Here is a 15618-nt window from a genome sequence, read left to right as displayed (position 1 = left end):
TGTAGTTCTCCTTGTAGACACCTTTCACCTCCTTGGTTAGCTGCATTCCTAGGTATTTCATTTTCTTTGTGGCTATTGTAAATGAGATCACGTTCTTGATTGGACTCTCAGCCTAGACATTACTTGTGAATAGAAATGCTACTGATTTTTGTACATTGCTTTTGTATCCTGAAACCTAGCTAAAATTATTAATCAGTTCTAGTAGCCTTTTCACAGAGTCTTTAGGGTTTTCTAGATATAGAATCATATCATCAGTGAAGACAGATAGTTTAATTTCTTCTTTTACTATTTGGATGCCTTCTTTCTCTTGCCTGATTGCAGTAGCTAGGATTTCCAATATTATGTTGAATAAGAGTTGTGAGAGTGGGCATCCTTGACATGTTCCAGTTTTCAAGGGAAATACAGCTTTGGCTCATTCAGTATAATGTGGGCTGTGGGGATTTCATAAATGGCTCTTACTATTTTGAGGTATATTCCTTTGATGCCTAGTCTGTTGAGGGTTCTATTATAAAATGATATTGAATTTTATCAAAAGCATTTTTTGCATCCATTGAGATGATCGCATTGTTCTTTTAATTCTGATTATGTGGTGAATCACACTTATTGATTTGTGTATTTTGAATCAGACTTGCCTCTCAGGAATAAAGCCTACTTGATCATGGTGTATTAACTTTATGATGTGCTGTTGGATTTGGTTTGCTAATATTATATTGAGGACTTTTTGCATGTATGTTCATCAGGGATATTGGCATGAAGTTTTGTTTTACTGTGTGTGCCTCTATCAGATTTTAGGATTAGGCTGGTGCTGGTTTCATAAAATAAGTTGAGGAGCCCCTTTTGCTTGATTTTTTTGGAATAGTTTTAGTAGTATTGATACCAGCTCTTCTCTGTACATCTGGTAGAATTCAGCTATGAATTCATCTGGTCCAGGGGTGGTTTTGGTTAGTAGGTATTTTATTACTGATTCAATTTCAGAGCTCAATTTTGGTCTATTCAGGGCTTCAATCTCTTCCTGATTCCATCTTGGTAGGTCGCATATTTCCATCTAGGTTTTCTTACTTGTGTGCATAAAGTTATTCATAGTATTCTCTGAGAATCTTTTGTATTTCTGCAGGATTGGTTGTAATGTCATCTTTATCATTTCTGATTATACTTATTTGGATCTTCTCTTTCTTTTTGTTAATCTAGCTATTGTTCTATCCAATCTTGTTTTTTCAAGAAATCAACTCTTGGTTTCATTGATCTTTCATGCAGCTTTTTGCACCTCAATTCCATTCAGTTCTTCTCTAATTTCAGTTATTTCCTTTCCTCTGCTAGCTTTGGAGTTGGTTTGTTCCTTTTTCTCTAGTTCCTTTAGGTGCAAAGTTAGATTGTTAATTTGAGATCTTTATAACTTCTTGATGAAGTGTTTAGCATCATAAGCTTTTCTCTTAACACTGCTTTAGCTCATCACAGAGATTTTGGTAAGTTGTTTCCCTATTTTCATTAATTTCAAGAACTTTTTGATTTTTGTCTTAATTTTGAGGTTAACCCAGGAGTTATTAATTAGCAAGTTATTTAATTTCCATGTATTTATTTAGTTTTGAGAGATTTTCTTTTCTTTCTTTCTTTTCTTTTTTTTTTTTTTTTTAAGACAGTGTCTCACTCTGTCACCCAGGCTAGAGTGCAGTGGCACCATCTCGGCTCACTGCAAGCTCCACCTTTTGGGTTCATGCCATTCTCCTGCCTCAGCCTCCCGAGTAGCTGGGACTACAGGCACCTGCCACCACGCTTGGCTAATTTTTTGTATTTTTAGTAGAGACAAGGTTTCACCATGTTAGCCAGGATGGTCTTGATCTCCTGACTTCGTGATCCGCCCACCTTGGCCTCCCAAAGTGCTGGGATTACAGGCGTGAGCCACCGCGCCTGGCTGAGAGGTTTTCTTGGTATTGATTTGTATTATTGTACTGGGGTGTTGAAGTTCCCCCACTATTATTGTGTGGTTATCTAAGTCTTTTTGTAGGCCAAGAAGAACTTGTTTTATGAACCTGTATGCTCCAATGTTGGATGTGTTTAAATTTAGGATAATTAAGTCTTCTTGTTGGAATGTACCCTTTGTCATTATGTAAAGCACTTCTTTGTCCTTAATTTTTATTCATTTACAATCTGTTTTATCTGACATAAGAATAGTGACTCCTGGCCAGGTGCAGTGGCTCACACCTGCAATCCCAGCACTTTGGGAGGCCGAGGTGGGTAGATCACGAGGTCAAGAGATCAAGACCATCCTGGCCAACATAGTGAAACCCCATCTCTACTAAAAATAAAAAGAATTAGCCAGGCATGGTGGTGAGCGCCTGTAGTCCCAGCTACTAGGGAGGCTGAGGCAGAAGAATCACTTGAACCCGGGAGGCAGAGGTTGCATGCAGTGAGCCGAGATTGTGCCACTGTACTCCAGCCTAGTGACAGAGTGAGATTTGATCTCAAAAAAAAAAAAAAAAAAATTGTGACTCCTGCTCTTTGCTCTTTTATTTCCATTAGCATGGTAGATCCTTCTCCATTACTTTACTTTGAGCCTGTGGGTGTCATTGCATGTGAGATGGATCTCTTGAAGATAGTAGATGGTTGGGTCTTGTCTTTATCCAGCTTGTTACCCTATGCCTTTTATGTGAGACAATTAGCCCATTTACATTCAAGGTTAGTATTGATATGTGAGCTTTTGATCCTGTCATTGTGTTGTTAGCTGGTTGTTATGCAGACTTGATTGGATAATTGCTTTATAGTGCCTGTAGGCTATGTGCTTAACTGTCTTTTTGTGGTAGCAAGTGCCATTGTTTTGATATCATGTTTAGTATACCATTGAGGACTTATTGTAAAGCTGGTCTAGTTGAAATTATCCCCTGAGCATTAGCTTGTCTGAGAAAGATTTTATTTCTCCTTCACTTATGAATCTTAGTTTAGTAGGATATAAAATTCTTGGTTAGAATTTCTTTTAAGGACACTGAAAATAGGCCCCATCTCTTCTGGCTTGTACAGTTTCTGGTGAGAGGTCTTCTGCCAGTCTGATGGGTTTCCCTCTGTACATGAATTGACCCTTATCTCAAGCTGCCTATAAGATTTTTTCTTTTGTATTGCCCTTGGTGAGTCTGATGACTATGTGCCTTGGGGATGGTTTCCTTGTATAGTATATAGTTAGGGTTCTCTGTTTCTTGGAATTGCATGTCAACCTCTCTAGCAAGATTAGATAAATTTTCATCAACTCTACCCTCAAATATATTTTCCAAGTTGCTTATTCTCTCTCCTTTTCTCTCAGGAATGCCAATGAGTCATAGATTTTGTCTATTTACATAATCCCATACTTCTTGGAGGTTTGTTCATTGTTCATTTTTTAAAATTCTTTTTTTTTTTGGTCTGAGTTGATCCGAAGAACCAGTCTTTAAACTCAAGATTCTTTCCCCAGATTGATTTATTATGCTGTTAATACTTCCAATTGTATTATAAAATTCTTGTAGTGAATTTTTCAGCTCTAGAAGTTCAGTTTGGTTTTATCTTAAAATAGCTATTTTGTATTTCAGCTCTTGGATTATTTTACTGGATGCTTTGGATTTCTTGGATTGGGTTTCAACTTCCTTCTGATCTCAATGTGCTTCCTTTCTACCCAGATTCTGAATTCTCTGTTTGTCATTTTAGACATTTCAATCTCATTAAGAACCATTGCTAGAGAGCAAGTGGACTTTTTGGAGGTAAAGGTGATACTCTGGCTTTCTGAATTGTCAAAATTATTGTGCTGATTCTTTCTCGTCTAGGAGAGCTGATGTTCCTTTAATTGTGGTGTAAGTTGAGTACAGTCAGTTGGCTTCTTTTTTGGATACTTTTAGAAGGCCAGGGCTCTGTAAGGAATTGTTATATGTAAGTGAATTCTTGTACTTGGTTTCAACAGTGTACATATTAGCCCAATAATTTTTGATGGTATAGTTTGAGCTCTGATCCAGTAGACAGTGCTTACAAGTAATGGTTTGTAGCTAGGCTATTACCCAGTTGCACAGCCTTTTTGGACTTCCTTTCATTCAAAGGCATACTCTCCAGTGTATGGATGGGAGAGAGATGGCCCCCTCACCAGGTCTGCTTCTTGGCCTTGGGGAAGTCCCCTCCAATCACTTGTGCCACACTTGCATTTTTTTTTTTTTTGGTGAGGTGTTCTGGGCCATGGGGCTCCCTTGTGCAGGGGCTGCAATTGAAAGATAGGCCACACCCTTTCTGGGCCAGCCCTGTGGAGGAAGACATGCCCCACTCCTGCCCTGGCCCAGAAACCCACAAGTCTTGCCCATCTCAGTGAGCTGAGAGTGAGGGCTCCACCATGACTTAATTGCTGGTCACAGATCTCAGTTTGGTACTCCCAAGCTGCATGCCACAGCTCTGGGGGTACCAGGATGTTCTGTGGCTTGGGGTTGGGCTCCAACTGCATTGGGGAATCTGATGTGCTTTCAGGTCACCAGAAAAATACTCAGGTGGGGCAATGGATTCAGATTGGGCTGCAGAGGCTGTGTTTGGTACCCAGTCCTGTGAGGTGGCTAGACATGGGCCTTGGGAGAGGCTGGTGGGCAGGAGGGCTTATGGAATAGACATGTCCCAGTCCCATGAGGCAGCCAGCCCCAGTTTCTCCTGGCTTGGTGGTCAGCTAGAGCCAGAGCCTCCCAGAAGAGGATTGGGAGCGCTGGGGGATAGGTACCTATGACCATGCTCCATCAGAGCTTCCCAGCACTCAAAAGCTCCTGGGATCTCTGCTGTCCAAAATCCTGTCTCTGCCTTCTCCCAGGGGTGATCCACCTGCCAGCTCACATGTCCATGGGGATACGGGCTCCCCTGTAGCTAGGATCCCAGATGTCTGCAGTGAGAGTGAGCCACCCGTCAGTTCCCTCACTCACCACTTTCCCAGGAGCCATTCAAGGCTGGGAGTTAGCCCTCGCATTCAGGTGCCCCATGCAGGGTTCCCAGCTTCCTCTTTCTTCAGCTACAGCTTCAGCATCATCTCTCCATCCACTCTTGGCATTTTCTCTCTTAAGAGCTGCCCAAATTATGTTGGTTTACTCAATAATTTGGTCTCTCTTGGTGGGAGTGACACCTGCTGGCTGCATCTCATTGGCCATCTTTTCCACAGTCTCCATTAAATATCTTTTGTTGGTGAAAAGAATAAATGAAATAACACATGTAAAATTAACTAGCTCTGATCTGACACACAATTTCCAACTCCAAGCAAAATTGCCCCTCTCTTCTTTATGCTTATTTATGATCAGATACTCTGTTGAGAGACACATCTGAGCATCTAGAACACTTTTATTATCTTTACTGATTTAAATGCCTATCTCTACCTAACTGCTGATTGAAGTCAATATGTATGAAGTATTTACTTTTATGTGGCCAGCACCTAGAATTATTCTTCACACATAAAAGTTGTTCAAGAAATGTTGGCTGACTGAATGGGGAAACAAACATGGAAACAATTTCAATGCAGTGTGACAAAGACCAAACTCTCTACAAAAGACTAACACACTCTCTACAAAAGACTAGAAGAAGAAATGTCAAGTAAGCTTGGAAAATTTGTAAACACACACACACACACACACACAGGATTTAAAATGTGAGCTTTATAAATGGAGGTCTTCAGAGAAGAGGAAAGAAGCAGCACAGACCAAGGAAAGGAGACATTTCACATTTATGAAAAGTGATTGATCCAGGACCTGGACTAAGAGGAGAGAAAAAGAAAATAAGAAATGATGTGGCTAGAGTTGGTATGCAGGAGCCACATTATAAAGGTCCCTTGTGTGCCAGCTGCCAGAATAAAGGGTTTTTCATTTTATCTCCATTGGTAGAGACTCCAACTTAAGTGACTGAAATAATAAAGAATTTTGAGCGATGAATTATAATGCATGTAGATTTGTGTTCCAGAATGCTCACTTTAGTAGCAAAGTCAAGAAAGGGTGTCCAGTGTCTAGGAGACTAATCTGGAGCTAACTGTATGAGTCCAAGGCAATTTATGTAAATACCTAAGGTATGTATTTGTGGTGATGCTAGAAGAGAAAATAGTTTTAGCTGATATTTAGAAACCAATCGACAGGGATTGCTTCTGACAAGGGGAAGTAATACAGTTAGGGAAATCTAGGACAATTCCCAAGTTTTTGGCTTTGGGTGGCCTGGTAGGCAGCGATATCATCACCAAAGTGGAGAGGAGAAGGAATAGCTAGGTAGAGAGGAGGCGGCACTAAAGACATGATTACTTTAAAGTACTGATGGAACATTCAGATAGAAACATTCAACCAGCTTTTGGAAATAAGCCTAGGTGGTGTGCTCCTTCCTTTTCTGTTCCACGGAGTGTGTCTCTTCTCTTCTAGGGAAGAGAAAACTGGAGGCAGGGGCCAACATTACCATTTCTCCAGCTGGACTGTTGTCAGTGGGCAGATGCTCCTCATCACTAAGCAGCTACAATAAAGTCAGTGCTTCTACCAATGGATCACTATAAGGAATAGCCTTCCTCCACCTGTTCTAGATACCACCTAACCTGACTTTCCACAAATGAATACAGATGCCAGTGAAAGGGTAAGAAGATCTTAATTGAGAAAGAATTATTCAAAGCTATCCCAACCTTTCTCTAAAAGCTGCACATCTGTTACCTATTATTTGGGATACCGAATTTTTCTGCCTCTTACCTAGGGTTTACATAGATCCTCACTATTGATCGCCTCTCATTAGGTCATTAACTTTCCTTGGAGGAAACATTATTGATTGTTTTTCAACATTCATGTTCTATTCTCCCTTCCTAACAGCTTTCAGGTTTTAATTTGGATATCCATATTCGTGCCCATGTAACCTACATATTTTATGTAAAGCTGATTCAGATTCTCAGACCTCAGGGGTAGACCTTGGTTGACCTAAGACAGCAAACATGTTCTATTCCCCTGACCAAAGTCACTGGTACATTGTTGGGCATGTGACTTAAACAGTTTAGTCAGTATGAATCTCAGGGCTCTTGGTTGGCATATTTAGACAAAAGTTCTTTCTCACTGGACTAACCAGAGAAACACATAAGCTTGATTACTACTAGCAGCCATTCTACATCCATGAGGCTAATTAACCTAACACCACAGAAAGGAGAACAGAAAGTCTCGCAATCATCCAAACCTGAAATCTGTCCTATTTCTAGATTTTTCTGAGAATTAAACCAAAAATTTTCTTACTAATTTTTCAGCAAGTTTAAGCTATAGTTTCTATTATTTATACCCCCAAAGCATACTACCTAATTCAGGATGTGGTATTAAAAGATGAAATGGGCTGAGTGAGAGACGCAGGGTACAGGGCAATATCTTCTATTGAGTAGTAGGCTATCCTGATTATGAGGTTGAAAAAATAAATGTTGTTTAAACTGTTAACTGCTGTGATGGGAAAGAAACAGCCACACTTCATAAACACTGCATTCTCCAAAAGGGCACACCATCCTATCTTAAGACCTCCTCTAACAGTACCTGGGTGATGTTGGTGATTGGGCCAGTTCTCTGAACTGGCACTCCTCGATAAGAATTTTGGAAAATATTGTAGCTTTAACTACTTGTGCGCTATACTCTTAGGACATGGGGACACTTAGCAACTTGTATCTTCAGCTTTGGATTTTAGCTATTTCAGGACAACATAGAAATCTCATTTGTCACCTAGGTGCATAATCTTTATCTCTATGTTTATACCTTTATCTATACTTACAGCCATAGCCATACCTATGCCTATATGAATATCCATATACATGCTTATATCTATATTTATACACATATATATCCATATTTATGCACATGTCTATGTATAAATATATACATCCAGCTGCATACTTAATACAGTTATGCATCACTTAACAGCAGGTATACATTCTGATAAATGCATCATTAGGTGATTTTGTCATTGTGCAAACATAGAGTGTACTTACACAAACCTAAATAGCAAGGAGGCTGAGAAAGCAAGTATATTAAAATTTACAATTTTATATTGGGAAGTGTGCTCTGACCTCTTACCAAGATACATAGGGCAGAAATTCCCCAGGCACAGCAAAAGATTCAGAGAGTTGGCTACCAATAGGGTCCATTAGAGAGTTGTTACATGAGCTTCTGCCACACCTAGGCTTATTACACATCTAGGCTAGATGGTACAGCCTATTGCTCCTGTGCTACAAACCTATACAGCAGGTCACTGTACTAAATACTATAGGTAATTGTAACACTATGGTGTCTGTATATATAAACATCTCTAAATATAGAAAAGGTAATGTGTTGTGCTATGACATTACAATGGCTACAACATCTGTAGGTGATAGAAATTTTTCAGCTCCAATATGATGTTATGGTACCACCATCAGATATGCAGTTCATCATGATCAAAACATTGTTATGAGACACATGACTATACTGCATTGTTGTAACATTAGAATTATTATAACAGTTAAACAAGTAAATATATGTAGATGCTCAACTGATATTTGTCAAAAAATTAAAGGTTCCTGCAAAATTTTAAATTCTCAATAAAGGTTAGCCATTATTATTTGTATCTATTGTATCTATCGTAGTATAGATAGTTACAGCAGAAAATCCTAACTTAAGCTTGCTTATCAATAGAAAACATATTATCTCATGTAATTTCAAATTCAAAAGCAGAGTAGACTCTGGGTACAGTACAATCAAAGGCTCAATGATATTATCTAAATGCTTTATCATTCTTCATTCTGCTGTCCTCCTATTGGCTTCATTCGGAAGAGATTCCCTTGCAATTGCAAGATGACTGCCAAAGGCAGTCAGGACTCTGTGCTTTTTTTGTTCATATGCAATTGAAGAGAAGAGGAGAATATTTTCCCCCACGCACAAGAAATAAGTACTTCTCTTCTCTTAGCCTTTTTCTTGGCCCTTTTCTTCACATGCTTATGTAACAAGCAGCCAAAAGTTGCTGTGTCCAATTTAAGGAAGATATTAAGGATATTGACTAGCTCATAGAAATTCTAGAAAGCTTGGGGACAATGCAGCCAGAAACAAAGCTTCAAACTAAACCACAAAACTAGTCTTGTGAGGATGCTGTTACCACTGAACATTAGATCCTATACTTCAGACACCAATCAGGTTCATTTGATTAGCATGCCTAGGGCATGTATCTATACATTAGTTTCAAAGGAGGCTGAGAAAGCAAGTATGTTAACAATTTACAATTTTATAGTTGGAAGTGGGCTCTGACCTCTTACCAAAATACAGAGGGCAAGGATTCCCTAGACACAAAAAAGGATTCAGAGAGTTGGCTGCCAGTAAGGTCCATTAGACAGTTGTTACAGAAGCTTCTGCCAACTCAGCCACCCACGCAGTATGGTGCTCCCTGAGGAGAAGAGGATTGTGAACAAAACTGAAAGAACTGGCTCACTAAACTCTGTAATACTTTCAGATTCATGTAAAAATTAAAGAAGCTTCTCCATTTCAGTTGACTTGTACTGAGTCTCCAGCTTAGTGGAGGTAGGTAGTATTACCGACAGCTCTCTAGCTTGCATCCATAGTGTCAGAATTTAACTCAAGAGACACTGCATGACTAATCTCTTTTAGGGCAAAGGCTAGTGCAGAACTGTCAAGGCAAGCAGTGACTCAGCCAGCGGCAAAGGCAATGACAGCACCTCATCCAGCAACAGTGACAGGGAACAACAACCAGAACAGATTCCCTAAAGCATTGAATATGCCTTTTAGGGATGCCAAGAATATTCAGGAAAAGAAAAATCTACAAGTGCCTGAATTCCTTAACAAGGAAGTCAGGGTTTGAAATGAGGAGGAATTGGGTATTAAATTTAGAAATCTAATGTCTCAGGGACATATGGATCACATATGTGATTAGAGAAACATCTAGCACTTACTTCCTGGAATTGGAGCTCTTACAAGAAGGAAAAGGGAGCACTTTTGATAACAAGTTTCCCTTTTTCTTGTGAGGCAGTTTTCCTGGAAGCTCAGCCACCAGATTTTTGCAAGGTTGTTTTCTTGTAGACACTAAAATTTCAGCAGTCATGACACATTCTCAGAAAAACTTGATTTGATACCCCAATCTATAATTGCTTCACTTCCCCCACCTAAGCAACTCTTACATTACTCTATTTTATTTTCTGCAAAGAATATGAATATAAATTCTTAAAACTTAGTTATTATGTTTATGACTGCTCCTGCATAAGCCTTCACCAGAGTCCACCAGAATATGGACCTCATGAGAACAGTGAACTTGCATATCTTGTTACTAGTAAATTCCTGCAGTCTTAGAACAATAACTGGCACATACGGTAGACACTCGAGAAATATTTGTTGAATAAGTATTAAGATCTGGCTCCTCATAGAACTAAGGCCATTATTATAACCATGCAAAAATTCCAGTTTTATGCCTGCAAGTCTTTAATTCAATTCAAACAATATTGTCTCATTATTAAGCAACTTCTATATAATATCATTTACACATTTCTGCCTGGGACACTCTTCTACCCAACTATATTCCTCGTCTCCTCTCCAGAAACATGCTTCAACTGATCAACACCTTCCAATCTGTCTGGTTGATCCAGTCTTTCAACATGGAAAATGAAAGAAGTGAGACATCAGAACTAATACCAGAGAGTAAGTCAGAAAAACAACAGAAGACTAGAGGACAGAATAGGCACAGGATAACATCAGTTTACCAAGATGAAATATTTTTAGGGGCCAAAGCTAGGGTGCATAAATTATGCTAGAATTAGCTAATGGTCAAAGTGAAAGAAAAAAAACTGAAATCATTTGGGCTAGATACTATGTGTATTAAATGGTGTGCAGAAACCAGGACTTCCTGGAACTAAGTTCAGAGACTTAGTTTTCAACCAGTGTCTTGCCAAGTGTGGCTTTTCAAAGGTCCAGGCTCCACTTCCAAGAGTGAAGGAGAATGTAAGGCGGAGTGGGAATCTGGCATGGGTTTTGGAGACAGAACTGGTTTTGAGTCCTAATGATGCCAAACAAGATAACTTCTCAGAATAACTTTCCCAAAGGACAAGCTAATCAACCTCTCAGCAACTCAAATCTGTGAAATACAATTATATTAGTAGTACCATCTCACTGGATTATTGTGGGGTTTAAATAAATCAATGTAATGTGTTAATTTATTATGGAACTCATTTCACAACTTATACAAATATTGAATCATCATGTTGTACACCTTAAATTCATACAATTTTATTTGTACATTGAAGCTAAATAAAACTGGAAAAAACAAATAAGTAAATAAAAGTCCATAGGAAAAAACAGAAATATGGGTCAAAAATTAATGGACAAGGTCAACAGCACAGTTCTCTGCTCTTAACTGCTATTTGTTCATTTAACAAATATCTATATACATTATTACTAATATTGTTTACATCTTTTAAAGTAGCTGAGCTGCCTAGTTGACTCAGGAGGTAATGATAATAGCTATTGGATTTTTTTGGCAGTCACTTTGCTAAGCATTTAACAAGCAGGATTGTTTTTAGTTTTCAAAATAACCTCATAAGAACTATCATTGCCCCATATTTCACATGAAAAACATCAAAAGTAACCCAAACAAAAGACTCGTGGGTAAGCCAGATGTTTAAGTCCTCCCTGAAGAGGTATCAAGCTCCTCTAGAAGATAAGCGGGAATCCTGGTGTTGATGGGTTAGAGACTTGCTGCCTTTTCAAGGATGTTTTCTCCTTGGAAACTTTTTTTTCTTTCTTTTTTGGAAGAGTCTCTTATAAACTGGGGTGTTAAAATCCCTAGCACTGGGAACTCAGAGAATATATATCATTCTCTACACATATGCCACGAGTTATCTCAAACTCACTTAAGACAAAGACTTAAATACACAATAATGTCTGATTCATTGGTCTATTTAATTTCAGAAGTTTAACTTTTTTAAAATTTTATTTTGGCTCTTCCTAGTGCCTTTTATGGATCTTAGCAATGCTAACTAGGCTGTAATATTTATTTCGTTATTGACTTCAGATTTCCATTGATAGACATAAACTCAAGAGTTAGATCTGAAGTGGACCTTAGAAATTATCTATATAGCCCACTGATTTACAAATTACTCAAATAATTAAAGGTGTTCTTTCTCTTTAACCAGAGCTGTTTCGCTTTTGTTTTATGGAGTGAGCTTCCATTTATTGTTTCTACAAAACATAATTTCACTGAGAATGTGTGTGTATAGGTTTATTTATATTAAACCACCACACTGATCTAATAAGAAAACTTTACTCATTTTCATTTATTTAATCATTCAGTTTAGCACCACTAAGTGCCCATGTTTCTTTCAGCCAGTGGAGACGAAAACAAAAAAGACACTCTCTCAGCCTTAAAGCCTTCCTGTTCTGGTCAGGAAGGCAGACATACAGAGAAAACCGCATTGATGGGAGTAAGGCCATAGCAGAGGCTTGCCGAATAAATATTTAGGCAAGAGAATAGGGTCTGGAGGCAGGGAACCTAAGGCCAATTCATGCTGACTTCCTAAAACTGAATCAAAAGGAAAACCCCACCTCTCCACGCCCAAGTAACAAAAGGGTCAGAGGCTACTCCCTTTGCAACATGCCCACTTCCACTGTGCACAGATGAAACATGGAATGTACCTCTGATTGGTCCTCTCCCACAACCAATCAGACTGGTCATAGGCCAAATCTTCATTTACATAGGGTATAACCAAGTAATCAATGGGAAGCCTCTAGAGAGTCTTTAAACCCCAGAAAATTCTGTAATTAGGGCTCTTGAGTGACTTGCTCGAGCCTGCTTCCACTCTGTGGTGTGTACTTTCATTTCAATAAATCTGTGCTTTTGTTGCTTCATTCTTTCATTGCTTTGTTTGTGCATTTTGTCCAATTCTTTGTTCAAAGTGTCAAGAATCTTGATGACTCGTAGTCAAGACCTTCCACCAGTAACAGTATGAGGACATGGTGGAGGGAGATTGGAAAAAGCTTTCAGAGAGGATAGGACCTAGGGCTGAGCCTCATTAATAGGATGAGAGAAGTGCAAGAATTACACACAAAAGCAACAACAAAAGCTAGCAACAGAAAAAAATAGAGAGCTCAGAATGGGAAATAATTGATGTAGCTGTACTTTGAGGTTAATTGCATATGGTAAGCCCTCAATAAATAGCTGGTTAATTTATTTACCAACTAAATTCGTATTCTGGAGGAAATAAGCCTGTGAAAGTCAGTTCATGAAGGGGCTTACAGGTTTACCCAAATAATTTGGATTTATTCTCTAACCTAGGACCTGAAAATGCAAATGTCTATAGGGATCTTGTAAAAATGTGAATAAGTTGGCCAGGTGTAAAAAAATAGTAATTATGAAGACTATACCTTATTACTGTCAACACATGGATGTCTAATACATACTCCTGGCCCTTAGGCTACATACATAAATAAGTACAAACAATATCAATATAACATGATGATTTGTCTCCATTCATGTACCAAAAGCAATAAGATCATAAAGGAGGGCTTACTTAATTCATCTGAAGGAAGCAGGAAGATATTACTGATATTTTATTTGAGGTGAACTTGAGGAATAAGCAGAAGCTTATCTCTCTGTTTCTAGCTACACTCCAACATACTCCCTGCATTCCAATCAGGTTGGTCTCCTAAGTGTCCCGCAACACCCCACATTCCTATGTCCTCTCTCAAGTCTTTCACTTTGCCTGGTTTGCTCTGCCTTCTTTACTTACTCAATTTTTACCAACCCTTAAAGACCCAGTGCAGACCTTCCTCACCCATAAAATCCTTGAAGACTTCCCAGGTACCGAATGCTAATTGAGAACATACCAGAGGTTGGACATACTGGAAAGCTGAAAGACACATATGACACAGCAGAGTGTAGAAGTGCTCAGGAAAGAGCGTTTTCTTGTGTGTGATGAGAAATTTATGGGTTTGGGAGTCAAGGAGTAATTGGCTCTGTGACCTCAGCAAGATCATCTAGCCTGTGTTTGCCTCAGTTTTCTTAGCTAGAAAAATGGACGCTTATCCTCATGGTCGTTATGCTTCCTTTCAATTCGAAGATTATGACTCTGATTTTGAAGAACAATGTGATCTCTTATGTTTCCAGTAGCATTTTCACACATTTTCAGAACTTTTCTGTATAATATGATCAGTATAAAATCACTCATCAATGGTAGCACTATTGAAGAGTATAATTTCTGTGCCATTATAAATATAACTCTTACCCTGGGTTTAAAAAGTTGCATAGGTCACAGGTGCATTGAGAAAAAAATCAGCTGTCATGTTACCCTGTTACTGTTTTGGTTATCTCACATTAAGAACAGATTGTGGTTCTTTCTCTGGACCTGCAATTTCATGGCAGTAAGAAGATAGAGGGCAAGTGGACTACAGATCCTGAATATTAAGATGAAAGAAAGACTGCCTATGAAAAACAACACACATGAATTAAAGAATCTATGGAATTAAACTAAAATAATTAATGAAGTTGTTATTTTGTGTTATTTTAGTAATTATGGAAGCATTATTTATGTTATAAACAGACAATAAGTTATGAAATACCATACTTTGTTTTAAGATCTTAGATGATAAATTGTTGACAGCTATTTGCAAAAACTAGGAGGGTATTTCCTTAGCATCTACTATTTATTGTCAGTTTGCCTCATTCCAACTGGCTGCATTAGTTGTACTTTTGGTTTTAAGCAAAAGAACCAACTCCAGCTAGATTTAAGCAAAGCTAACCTATTGAAAGAACATTAGATTATCTCATGGAGTCCAAGGAAAAGTCCAGAAGCGGGAGGAACCAGATCAACTTCAGGGACCTTAGCAGTAGAACTTCATGGACCTTCTCGCCACAGATTTTCCTTTAGTTTGACTTTAGTTCCTGTGACTTCCCACCTGTATCTCTCCTCCTGTCCCCAAATTGTAATTTCTAGGAAAAAGCATATGTTGAACACAACTTGGGTCAAATGTCCTGCTCAAGCACAACCAACTATGACAAAAACATATGTCAAAAGAGTGATATATTACAAACATGGCCACCAGAGACCCTGCCTTGTAGAAGAGACCAATGTTTGCAAAAGGGAGAAATGTTGGTATCCAGCAAGCCACCTCAAGAGAAGTCTGCCCATTGCACAGGCTTTTTTCTGCTGTGATTTTTACCTCCTTCCTCCCTTCCCCAGTTATCCATATTTATATATCACTGTATAAAATTATACCTTGTCCTTCTAGAAGTAAATATGAAATTAAAGTAATGAAAGGGGCAGAATAAACAATCCTCTGTTATTCTTTAAGTGAAAATATAAACAATTCCGTTTGATTATACCATGTAGAGGCATCCAGAGCTAGACTAAAATATTACAAAAATAGGGACTAATCATCAGATATAGTCTATGAAAATCTAATAACTTTAATAATAATACATTTGTCTAATAACTTTGACCAATCACAGAATAATCTTTCTTGATTACCAAAGGTGTTTACTTCATTTCTTGAAAGTAAAATCTAAAACATTTATCAATACCAGATATTCTGAAAGATAAAGAAAACATGTAGTATGTATGTTATACTCCCTTCAATAGTTTGTGAAGGAAGTTCTTGGACAATTTCAAAGACCTAGATCTTTATCCTCCTCCTAATT

At 38.4% G+C, this 15618-nt stretch overlaps 1 long non-coding RNA gene across 9 annotated transcripts in view, besides 1 other annotated feature; it reads right to left on the bottom strand.

Moving 5' to 3' along the window:
• The window catches only part of LINC02235 (long intergenic non-protein coding RNA 2235), an 81042-nt gene that overhangs the window by 55104 nt on the left and 10320 nt on the right, over positions 1-15618 (bottom strand). For 3 of the 9 annotated variants that reach the window (NR_170318.1, NR_170316.1, NR_170317.1), the window contains one exon: positions 14721-14910. The exons of 3 other annotated variants lie outside the window; for them this stretch is intronic. This is a non-coding gene — a long non-coding RNA (long intergenic non-protein coding RNA 2235). Of the gene's footprint in view, positions 1-4901; positions 5149-14605; positions 14911-15618 lie in introns of those variants that run through there. 3 more of the 9 variants (NR_170320.1, NR_170319.1, NR_170312.1) reach the window with 3 other exon arrangements.
• Positions 2289-3110: an enhancer, noted in NCBI's record as "OCT4-NANOG hESC enhancer chr8:82777682-82778503 (GRCh37/hg19 assembly coordinates)". NCBI's record gives its function as "activates a minimal SCP1, AML or CMV promoter by ChIP-STARR-seq in naive H9 embryonic stem cells {active_cell/tissue: H9 hESC(naive)}" and the evidence as "EXISTENCE:reporter gene assay evidence [ECO:0000049][PMID:30033119]".

Source organism: Homo sapiens, chromosome 8 (genome assembly GCF_000001405.40).
Source record: "Homo sapiens chromosome 8, GRCh38.p14 Primary Assembly".
NCBI lineage: Eukaryota > Metazoa > Chordata > Mammalia > Primates > Hominidae > Homo > Homo sapiens.
The sequence above is the reverse complement of the archived record's forward strand: the minus strand, read 5'-3'. Positions and strand labels throughout refer to the sequence as shown.